General features: G+C 36.6%; 1 long non-coding RNA gene across 2 annotated transcripts in view; it reads right to left on the bottom strand.

Annotated features, from left to right (window-relative positions):
- Positions 1 to 345: 345 nt before the first annotated feature.
- The window catches only part of LOC105377876 (uncharacterized), a 90,717-nt gene continuing 78,379 nt past the window's right edge, over positions 346 to 12,683 (bottom strand). For both annotated transcript variants that reach the window (XR_001744232.2, XR_942739.2), the window contains one exon: positions 346 to 858. This is a non-coding gene — a long non-coding RNA (uncharacterized LOC105377876). The remainder of the gene's footprint in view (positions 859 to 12,683) is intronic.

Here is a 12,683-nt window from a genome sequence, read left to right on the forward strand (position 1 = left end):
CAAGTCTGGAAGCTGTCCAAATACCCATTAACAAGAGTTTCAATAAACTGTGGCATAATCACAGACACATTAAATATCAATGGAAATTAATGAACCAAGCAACATGTAACACATGAATGAATCCTATTATGAAAATGAAGAGTGGAAGAGCAAATCCAAGAAGATCCATACATTTTGAACTAAGCAAAATATTTTTAGGACTACACACACATACACACAAACACAATAATGTTTCTTTAAGGCATAATAAGGATAAAAATAAAATTCAAATAATAGCTACTCCAAAGGCAGGTTTTTAAAAATGGAGTAGGGAGGAACATATATGTGTATATTTGTTATTAATAACTTTCTAGTTCTTGATTCAGGCAGTGAATTCATATAACTTCATCATATTGTCAATGAATATATAAAATTAAAGAAATAAAATAAATGAAGGCCAGGAGTAAGCAATGATGGCAAGTATGTTATGAGCCAAAAATTATGATTGGTCTTGTTTGGTGCCTAATGTCAAAAATAAATTATAATAATAATTATAACAACAATAATAATATAAATAAATTTAATTTCATTTACAAGTTCCATCCTACCAAGCCAGTAGGAAATTTAATCTTAGGTATTTGGAGGATTCCCCTCCCCACTATCCTTCAAAGGTCCTTGGGGATTTAACAAGAACAAAAGCACTGGAGGACACCCCTGCAGACTCACAGCCATTATGTTATTACTGAGATTCCCATTTTCCAAGCTCCATGTGGTTCTTCTATCTCCATGTTAGCCTTTGTAGTCTATAAGCAATTTCTTCTTTTACTCTGTGACACAATCCTTCCCAGAGTCAAGTGAGTATGAAGGCTTTGCTATCTTCTAGGAATTGAACAATAGAAAAACAATAGAACAAATTAAAAATTAATATCTCAAAAAATTGCCCTAGACACCACTAAAAAGAAAATGCATTCTCTATTATATTTACTCACCTGTGAGACAGGTTTAGCAAGGCTACAACTTCTTCTCCCATTTCAGATTTTCCAGGCCAGGTTTATTTTATTCTTCTGAATAAATTAAGAAGATTCCCATTTGCTATACCATGAAACATTTGCTTTGCCTCTAAGCCCAATTCTTTGGTGATTGAACTTGAAGAAAAATTTAATTACAATTTTGTATGTAACCTTGTTTACTTCCCAAACCAGAAACTGTTGCAATAAATGAGAAAATGAGTAAAGGCTTAGAAAGCAAATTAAGAAAGCTGTCATAGCAAGTGGGAAATGGGCCCTTTGGCAAATTGTTTTTATTGCTTTTTTTCTATTTATCTGAACATGGGGTTTATTTGTATTATATCGCCAAATGAAGCAGCTGAGTCTAGTTCAAGTTTATTACTAATATTATCATTCATTAATAATAAATGTATAAGTCAAATAAGTATTTCATAATATTTGCATGATCCAAACTGTGAACTACATTACAGCTATTTGATGAAGGATGATCCTGGGTCAACTTGCTAAAAATCAACACTGTGGTTGCCCTTATAACATAACTTCTTTTTCTCTCTCTGACATATTTTCCTTACAACGATTAATGAGCTTTTCTATTTTTGTCTTTTCCATGTTTAACTTGCAAAGAGAAAAAAACATCTAAGTTGATACATCTGAGTGTCAGGTAGGGAGGATCTGCTGAGCAGAGAGAAAGGGGTTTTAAGTAGAGAAATAAATTTGCAGGGCAGCTGCTGAAAAAGAATCATCTAAACCATAAGACAGAAGAGCTCTCCCCAGAAGGGAACAAGCAGAAAAGGAGAAAATAGGGAGACAACCACTTTCCAAGATACAGTCATATAGGAAAACTTTCTTTCATTTACCCAAGTATTAATATAAGACATCAGTTTTCCAGCCTAGAACACAAGATTAATAATAAATACAGATTTTTTTCTGTCTTCATTATTACAGACATTTTTTTTCCTGTCTCAAGCTGATAAAGAAAAATCAAAGAGTAAATCCGGATAAGAAAGGTGTTTCTTGGATTAAAGCTAAACACTTGAAGAACATAGATTTAAACAGTTGAAGAAATAGATTTTAAACGTTTGAATAAACATAAGCACAAAGGATATGTTTTTTAAAATCTTTGTGGGCAACTACAATTTTTTCATAAGTGTGAAAAATTATATTGCAAACAATAGGCTTGGCTTGTTTAATGACATAATGTGCTCTAATGAGATATATATGCAAATAATAATAGTTATTAATAATCTCAAATATTATTATTATTAATATAGATAATAGTGTTTATTGTCAGTCTTTATTTTGGTAGGATTACTGCCCTGATCTTTTATACCATTTTTAAATGGTGTTTAATACTTGGATTAATTAAAAAGGAAGGCAAACACATCCTAACAGTTGACCAATAATGTGTCTCAACTTGTTTCAAGTCCTCTTGCATGCCCAAGCCTCTCTTTTAGAAGTAACAAACCATTTTAAAATCTATAAATACAAACTGATGATTCTCTTTATGTCCACTGACAAGTGTGTGAGGTCCATGAGATTTTGTTTCATTCATCATGCATTTTATGAATGTAAGAGAGGCCTACAGAGTTCTAAGTTCTCCTGGTGCAACTTTGCCTCTCCTGACTTCAATATCACCTCACTTACCACCACAAATGGCATAAGTGTCTTATGATTAGAACTGATCATACACTTTCCCAGAAGAAATCATTCGAAGGAAACTCATCATGCCTCACAACTTTATTTATCTCAGGCAGTGCTAGAAGTCCAAACTTCTCAGATCATCCTTCATTATCCACACTTTGTCCCTTCATAGAGCTATGTCTATCCCTATTCCAAAATCTCTTTTGACCTCCCAAACTTTTGCACTGTATTCTTGGAAATGCACTCTTATAATTCTTCTTTAGCTCTTCCCTAGATTTTTTTTTTTTTTTTTTTTTTTTAGACAGGGTCTCACTTTGTCACCCAGGCTGGAGTGCAGTGATGCAATTACAGCTCGTTGCAGCCTTGAACTCCGAAGCTCAAGCGATCTTCCCATCTCAGCCTCCTGAATAGCTGGGACTACTGGCACGTTTCACCACACCCAGCTAATTTTTATATTTTTTTTGTAGAGATGGGGTTTTGCCATGTTGCCCAGGCTTATCTCAACTCCTGCACTCAAGTGATTCTCCCACCTCAGCGTCCCAAAGTGCTGGGATTACAGGTGTGAGCCACGACATTCAGCCCCAAAACTCCTGACCTTTAAAGCACTTTCCATCATACTGTACCCCTGGGTACCATTCTTTATTATCATCACCATCAACCTTTGGATGGCTCTTTCTCATTTATCATTCCCTCCACTATTATTTCTTTCATCATTCTTAGTGAGTTCCCTATTCATGTCAATATCCACTTAACACTCTTCTTGTTCCTTAACTCAATTTCAACAATTTATTTTCTCCTCCTCACTGTAGCAATCCAATCCCAAGGCTACGTCTTAGAAATTTCAGTATCAGTACTCATTGCTCCACTTCCAAAATCTTCAAACAGCCTATACTTTACCAATTCCTGTCTTTCCAGATCATCTATTTCAACATCCCAACTCCAAAGGTAGTTGGTTCTCCAGTCCATTGGCAAATTTTTAAAACTTTCTCATTCCCTTTATATTCTCACTGCTCCCAGCTTGGTTTCCATTAATCATCACTGTAATCATCCCATTGAATGTACTCTAAACTCTTCTCCTCATCTTCTTCTATGACATTCTTACTAGGAAAAGGAAACAAACTCAGTGCTAGTTAAACCCAACTCCACACCAAATCTCCATCTGCTCTCTAACAGACTAATTTTCCTGCCATACAATACACAATCATTACTAACTACTATTCAATTCATGATCCAGATCTCAAAGAACACTCCCAAGTGCCCAAGCAATACTGCCACACTTCTCTTGTATTACTGTTCTCTCATTTCACAAAAGAACATTTTGTATTTCTCCTCTCTCCAATATCTGTCCCACTCATTATCAAATAATCATATCAATTCTTATTCCTTGAGAAAATAGAAGGAATCAGATGAGAATATCTTAAAATTACATTCTGAAACTACCGGCAATTCTTCTGGCTTTTGTCAAAATATACCAAGCTTATTTCTGCCCCTTATTTCTTCTGTCCAGAAAGTTATTCCCTCAGATATTTACTATGACTTGCTCCTTAACATGATGTAAGCCTCTGTTCAATTGTCAATTTCTCAGAGAGATGCTCCCTGATGACCCCATCAAAAATGTACATATCCATGATTCTATTTCTTATGGAGCATTATTTCCTTTATAGCCTTTATTACTATGTAAAGCTATGTTGCATATATGTTTATTGTTTGTTTTTGTCTTTCCTTCCAGAATGAAAACAGAAGACTTGCTGATCTTGTGTATAAAGCACCTGAAACAGTGTATGACACATAGGTGCTTCAATATCTACTTTTGAACAATTAATTAAAATCAATCATTAAAAATATAATGAAAGATTCTCAAAACCTCTACACTAAAAACACCTTTGTGAGACAGAATAAACATTTGTGTAAAAAGAGAGATACACTATGTTCACTGATGAGAAGACTCTACATTTTTAAGATGTTGACTGTCCCCAAATTGATTCATAGGTTCAGCATAGTCCAGTCAAAATCCAAGCAAGCTTTTTATATAGAAATTGACAACCTAATTTTACAATTTACATGAAAATGCAAAAGATATGTAATAGTAAAACAATTTGGAAAAAAATAAAGTTGGTGGACTTATGTTACCTGATTTCAAGGTTTGCTATAAGCTATGTTAATCAAGATAGTGTGGCATTGATATAGAATTAGAAAAGTAGATCAATGAAACAGATGAGAGAATCTAGAAAGAGGCACATACATATACAATCAATTTTCAACAGAGGCAAAAATACCCTATGAGTAAGTGAAATTCTTTCTAATTAATGGTGGTGGAGCAACCATATACCCACTTGGGGAAAAAAATAAACATGGCCTCTAACTCACGGTATGTACAGAATTTAATTTGAGTTGGGTTATAGATTTGAAATATGAACTGTGAAGCTTCTAAAAGAAAATATAGGAGAGTATCTTCACAACCTTAGGGTAGGAAAAATTTCTTAGCACACAGAAAGCACTAATTATAAAAAACTGATAAATTAGACCTAATTGAAATAAAAGTTTTCTAATTATCAAAAGATAATATTAAGAAAATGAATAAGACACACACTAGGGGAATATAGTCACAAAACCTATGCATAAAAAGCAACTGATATCAGGATATATAAAAATATCATATAACTCAGTAATAAAAAGACAACCCAATTCAAAATGAAAAAAATACTTGCACAGATACTTCTCAAAGGAAGAACCAAATGGCTATAAGAACATGGAAAAGTACTTGACATTATTACTCATTGAAAAAATGCAAATTATAAGAATAAGATGTTATTGAACACCCACAAGAATGGTAAAAATTTAAAAGACTGACAATATAAAAGTATGCAAAGAATGTAGAGAAACAAGAACTCGTATAACATTGCTGATAGAACTGTAAAATTTGGCCGTGGCTTTGGAAAAAGATTCGGCAGTATTTTTATTAAGTAAAATACTTTAACTTATATGTACTATATGACACTGCAATTCCACTTCTAGATATTTACCCAAGAGATATAAAAACAAATATCCACGTGAAACTTGCACATGAATGTTCACAGCAACATCATTCACAGTAGGCAAAAACTGGAAACAATCCAAATCTCCTTCAACATAAAAATTGATATACAAATTACAGTGTATTTATTTAATGGGATAATACTTAGCAATAGAAAGGAATAAACTACCAGTACATGCAGTGACGTGGATATACTTTTTAAAATGCTGAGCTAAGGAAGTTAGTGTATTAGCTAGGGTTCTACAGGGAAACAGAACCAATAGGAGATATAGAACCAATGGGATATATATGGGAGATTATGGTCTATTGGCTCATATGATTATGGAGGCCAAGAAGTCCTAGCATCTGCCATCTGTGAGCTGGAGACCTGGGAAAGCCAGTGGTGTAATTCCAGCCAAGTCCAAAGGCCTGAAAACCAGAGGAGACAATGGTGTAAATCTCAGTCAAAGGGCAGAAGATGAAATGAGATGTTCCAGCTCAAGTAGTTGGGCAGAAAAAAAAGGGGCTAAATTCTTCCTGGCTCCATCTTTTGTTCTATTCTGGCTCTCAATGGATTGGATGATGGCTACTCACACTAGGAAGAACAATCTCCTTTACTGAGCCCACCTATTCAAATGTTAATCTCATCCAGAAACATCCTCACAGACACACCCAGAAATAATATTTAATCTGGGCACCCCATGGCCCATTCAAGTTGACACATGAAACTAACCATTATAGTCAGATTTTTTTTAAGTACATGTGGTAGGATTCTATTTATATAAATGTTCTAGTTACCTATTGTGAAACAGGCCATCCAAAACTTAATGGTTTAAACAAACATCCATTTTGGCCTCAAATCTGCAATTCGAACAAAGATTCATGAGAGTGGTTCATCTCAGCTCCATACAGTATCTGCCAGGCAGCTCTACTGAGACTGTCAGAACTATTAATACTTCCAACATAGCTCACTCATATGGCTGGAAAATTAGTGTTGGGTGTTGACTGGAAACTCAGCCAGGGCTGTTGGCTAGGGCTTCAGTTTCTTTCCTCATGGGTTTCTCTATGGGGTACTTGGACTTCCTCACAGTATGCCATTTGGGCTTTAAGAGAGAGTATCCCAAGATTCAGGAAGCAGAAGCTGCCAGTTTCTTAAAGCACAGGCCTGAAAACTGGCACAGCATAACTTTGACTGTATTCCATTAGTTAAGCTCTTACTGTATATTCAAAGCTAGGGGACGTAGATCCCACTTTGTGATGGAAGGAATGTCAACGAGTGTATGGGGGTGCTGAGCACCTGTAATCCCAGCACTTCGGGAGGCTGAGGCGGGCGGATCACCTGAGGTCAGGAGTTTGAGACCAGCCTGGCCAACACGGTGAAACCCCATCTCTACTAAAAATACAGAAATTAGCCAGGTGTGGTGGCACACACCTGTAGTCCCAGCTACTCAGGGAGACTGAGACAGGAGAATCACTTGAACCCGGGAGGAGAAGGTTGCAGTGAGCCGAGATCGTGGCACTGCACTTCAGCCCAGGCAACAGAGCAAGACTCTGTTTTTAAAAAAAAAGTGTATGGGCATCTTCAATCTCCCACACTGCAGTACTATACTACAGAAAGCGAATCTATATTGATAGGAATCAGAACAGCATTTGCTTTGAGGGAGGGAAAGTGGCAGGGCTTGACTGGCAAAGAAGATAAGGGAAATTTCTTGGGTGGTAAAGATGTTCTATATCTTAATTAGGTGGTGGTTACAGTAGTGTATAAATATGTAAAAATTCAAACTGTGAAACTAAAGATCTGTGCACTTCACTGTGTAAATTATATCTCAATTTTTAAAATAACTATTAAAATTACTAGGAAATAGATCCCTTCTAAGGAAATAGATTTATACTAAATTGAAGTTTAGGAGTCAGTAAGCTCTGAGTTCTGTTGAAAACTCTTCTGATTTTGGTTTTCAAACAATTACTCTAGCAAAAGAAATTAGGGAATAATGTCTCTTAAATTAGGATAAAAGCCATCTTTTGGTCAAACAAGGTCACAACCCAAAATTGTCAAAAAAATAAGATCAACTTTTTATTCAGCATAAGTGTTAAAATGATATACATCCAAATTTGATGGTTTTTAATGTACTTTTTACAGTCTAGTTTTGAGAACACTGAGAAAAGAAATCTTAGCTAAAACAATTTAAAAACCAGTTTCTGAAGTGTATTTCTTTGGTGCCATCAGATTAAGAACAGTATTTGACATCCTGAACTTGGTGCCTCTCATGAGTTTTAGGCAATATGAGTTCCTCAAGGGCTTCTTAAAAATCACAAAGGAATTACTGTACTTTTAAGCATATTTTATTATCTTTCAATTATTAGTAATTGTTGCTTCCTTATATAGTCCTAAAGACAATTCCTTTAAAAAAAATCTATTCACCAGAATATTCCCATTTTTTCAGGAATTCTGGATAAAGAAAGAAAATAGCATAACAGAACTTAAATTATAAACATTATTATTGATGACAGTTTACTTCAGTTGCAACACTAAACTAGTATCTATGTTTGCTAAGGACTTCAGCTGGAAGCTTTATGCCCTGAGCCATAATCCTAGCAATTGACTCTTATTGAACAAGATTTCTTCATGTGAGGCTGCCCTCCAAGTAGGCCATCTCAGTGGTGAAGCAGTTGGTGTTGGTGAGTTAGCTATTGACTGTCTTCCAGGGTATTCCCAGTTGAAACAATGCTTGGGACTCTCTATGACTCCGTCTTACCTCTGTTCCAGCCTCACTGCTCTTCAAGTGATCTCCCCCCAAATCTAAGTTCCTGGCCATTAAATGTCATAGGTAAATTTATGATTCTCTTCCTAATTAGGGAGAAATTACTCTTGGCTGCCTTCCAACTCTTTTCTTTCATCTGTGTTTTCAGGTACACCCTTATTAGATGATGCTACCCAGCACAGCTGCAGCTTCAGCAAGAACTGCCATGTGCATTTGATCGGTCTGTTTCTTATTCTGGAACCTGTATTTGCATCTGATGCCACACAAGTCCTAAGCATGGGATGTGTGGAAAGGGTCAGTCATCAGGATGGGGGGCTTGAAGTCTCCTCCTTTTTGGAAATCCTTTTCCCCTAACTACTAGGCAGCCAGTAACTTTAGGACTACTTCATGGATGTCCAAGTGTTCTAATGCTTCTCTTCCACCATGTCTGCTTTCTTCTAAAGTAAATTACCTTCCAAATGATCTCTTTTCTCTCCTCATACCACTATCCCAATCAAAGTTCCCAGATCCTCAACATAATTAACTAAATAAATCTCTCTGAAGTAGAACGATTGATAGGCCCAGACATCACAGCAATAATTATGGAAATTGATTCCTACTAAGTGGAAAAGTGTTAAAAGTAGGGTAGGTAATTTTTAGCACAAGCCACCTGTTCTATGCCTATTCTGAGATCCCGTCCTAGAATTTACCTGTTTTTCCCTCATTCTATTGTCCTATCAAAAGAATAAGGTTCTTCTGTGACTTGAAAGCCCATTCAGAAACTTGCTAGTCAATGATACAATGAGTTGAGAGTTGTTGTTTGAGGGGAAGTGGGATGGTATAGTGATTTTTTTTTGTTTGCATTAGGTTATTATGGAGTTCCAGATGAGCTAGGATACTCAGTCTTTCTGCACTGGCTTATCCTTTCCGTTTAAAAAATATCAAAATATTTTTATACCAGTTATTAAACAGTCACTACCCACAACCCCTTGAAGGAACTTCCTGTTTCCCCAGAGCCCTGAAGCTGCCCAGGCTCTGGCAATTCAAGGGTTAATGTCCGGCATGTCACAGTGAGGGGCCTCAGAGGCCCTGCTGCAGCACTGTGATGGGTGTCCATTCTTTCTTTTATTATTATTATACTTTAAGTTCTAGGGTACATGTGCACAACGTGCAGGTTTGTTACATATGTATACACGTGCCGTGTTGGTGTGCTGCACCCATTAACTCATCATTTACATTAGGTATATCTCCTAATGCTATCCCTCCCCCCTCCCCCCACCCCACAACAGGCCCCAGTGTGTGATGTTCCCCACCCTGTGTCCAAGTGTTCTCATTGTTCAATTTCCACCTATGAGTGAGAATATGTGGTGCAAACTATCACAAGGGTGTCCATTCTAATTGGGTGATGCCCACACAACACCAGTTGATTATAATGTAAGCAGATGAGACCACAAATTAGAAACTGTGTTATGTTAACCATTTGCTCATACAGAGTGCACTCTGAGTTAGCTATTATCAATGGTCAATTGATAATTTAAACACAACAAACCACATTAAATGCTTTTCTATTTTACTGTATAATGCATTATATGATTTTCAGTAAGTTCAAGTTTTTAACTATGCTTTTAGGCTAGTATTAAAGATGAGTAATACAAACCAACCTACTATTACTTCCCAATACTTAAGATAAGCTGTACCCAAGGGAAAATAAGAGAATAAACAAGAATCAGGCATTTCCTTACGCTAGGCTCTGTTATCTCATTAAATTCCCATGAAAACCCTCCATCATTATTCCCATTTTACAGATGGGCAAGTTAATACCCAAAACTGTATCTAATATCACACAACTCTCTAAGCACTAGCACATGAATGACTTATTATGTCCCCCTCCAAAAACACTGTGAGAAAGTGTGAATGTGCCCATTTTATTTTAGGAAACAGACTCAGGGAGGTTAAGTAGCTTGCTCAGACTTACTCCAGTCTCCCTCTTCCTGGGACTATGAACTTGATAGTGTGAAAATTGCACTATTTCAGACATATATTCAACTCAAACTATCTCTCCTTCTTCAAGGCTCCTGTGTGCTTCCTTCTACCCTCCTATCCTCTGTAACCTTGGCATCCATCTTTATCAGAGCCTTATAGTCTGTCTACACACACACACACACACACACACACACACACACACACACACCGCTTCTCCTTTCCTCACTACAGCAGGACTTTCATTACTTCAATTTTAAAAGATTTCAAGAGTCTTTTCTTTTGTTTTAGGACTAAGTGTCCCTTTTTCTTGCTCACAGGGCAGTGAGAGGAGTTCAGTGTTTTGAGGCTTAATGTGCACTGGGAAAGGAAGCCTGTTCTTACAAGTCTGCAAACTATTCTTCCCCTTGTCTGGGCAAACAAATTAATCTAATCATGAAAGAGTGTTAAGAGGGGGAGGGAAGGAGAAAAATGGGAGGGGAGTGGCAAAAAGGGGGAGGAAGGACAACAAAGTTGAGGAGGGAAGAAGCAAGAATAAAGACTTAAAACAGAGATTGCCATGGAAGAAGAAAGAATGTTTCCCATCATTAAGGGGTCTTCTTTCAGAGGAAAACTACTTTGGATGTAAAATAAGCCCTCCTACTGATAAACTATTTGACTTCATCCAATCTCCATGGGTCCCATCCAAATTAATTTCATTCCTTTGTCAGGCTCCTCCCCTCTTTAGTTCCTGACTCCATCTGTCCTCTCTGAAGAATTGCTGGGCACTCCAGCTTCACACCTTTGTTCCTGGCTGCTTTGGGCTTCCAAGACCAATCTCTCACACAAAGGCAGCTCATCCAAGGACACAGGGAGAGAGAACTAAACGGCAAGGGCCATCCTTAATGCTTCAGAGAAAACCCCAAACAAATGGAAAATGCCAAGCTTGTTTTAAATAGAAAGCTATCCCTGTAATTCTTAATTCTACAATTACCATGCTATGTCGCTCTGGCAATGAATCTCTCCACTTACACTTTTCTCCAGAAAACTCTGCTTTTAAGGAAGTACTTACATATGTCAAATAATCTAGTAAATAAAATTTGTATGTAATGCAAACCAGTTATATAGTTAGCCTTCCCTAAACAACAGAACCAGCTTCAGAGATTTAGCTCCACAGGGGATCATTGAGATCGTCTAGTTAATAACCTCCTTGTCCGGGGCCCAAAGGGCCAGAATGAATTTCCCCGCTTCACTACACAGTTTGTGGCCACGCTAAGAATAGAAGCCAGGTCTGAGTTCTGGTCCAGTGACCTGATCTCCTTTATTGTAAAATTGGAAGGTTGATAAAGCCAGAAAGGGCTTACATTTAGAACACTGTGAAACAGTCTTATATTTATAATAAGCCCTCAACTATAAACATGTGACCACTTTTCAAATTCCAGTTTTCTTTCCCTTCCAGCACTCAGGTTTTGTATTAAGAAATAAAAGCTGTTCTTCATCTAAATTCAGCAGTCATTGAAAGGGAAATATGCTGCCTCAGAAATCATACACAATGTGCTTTATAGTCACTTCTACATGTTCAGAATCATCCATTCTTCTGATTTATGCTTGATATTGTTCTTTTCCATTACTATGGACTACTATGGATAATTGTGTGTTGCCTAAATTTTTAAAAACCAGTAACAACTTCATCAAATGTGTTTTTACAGTTTTCCCAAAATATTGATTGTAATTTAAGAATGGCTTTATGTGTATTCCCACTGAATTTTCTTCATTTCAGATTTTAAAATTGTGTAGCCATAAGCCTACATTATCTTGCTTCTTCTACCTTGTTTACACTTCACTCCTTTTCTCCTTTACCGATTTTTCTTCTGCCAAATAAATGTGAATGTACTTCCAAGTCTTTGCTTTTAAGCCACTCTTCATACTTTGGCCAACAAAAGTTCCAACTTTTTGCCCCTTTGAAAAGAAATCATTTCCTATATGTGTTCCCCTCCCACAAACTCAGCAACTCATAATTACCCAGGATTCCTTCTCCTTTGTTGACATTAATTAGTTATACAATCTCAAGATTCTGCCTTCCATTTAATTTCAATTTAAGTTAACTTAACAAATATTTTCTACCCCTTACTTTATGTAGAGTGCTGTACTAGGCTCTGTGTGGGATAAAAATGAGCAAGTTGTATTCCCTCTTCTCAAGACAGTACTTGTCAACCAGGAATGTCTTCTCCAAAAAGATAAATGGAGCTGATAAAGTGTCAACTTTAAAGGGGTATTTTAAGGATTAGATGAACTAATGTGTGTAGTTCCTAGCATATGCTAAATCCTTAGTATAAATTACCT

The sequence above is a fragment of the Homo sapiens genome, chromosome 6, assembly GCF_000001405.40.
Source record: "Homo sapiens chromosome 6, GRCh38.p14 Primary Assembly".
Lineage (NCBI taxonomy): Eukaryota > Metazoa > Chordata > Mammalia > Primates > Hominidae > Homo > Homo sapiens.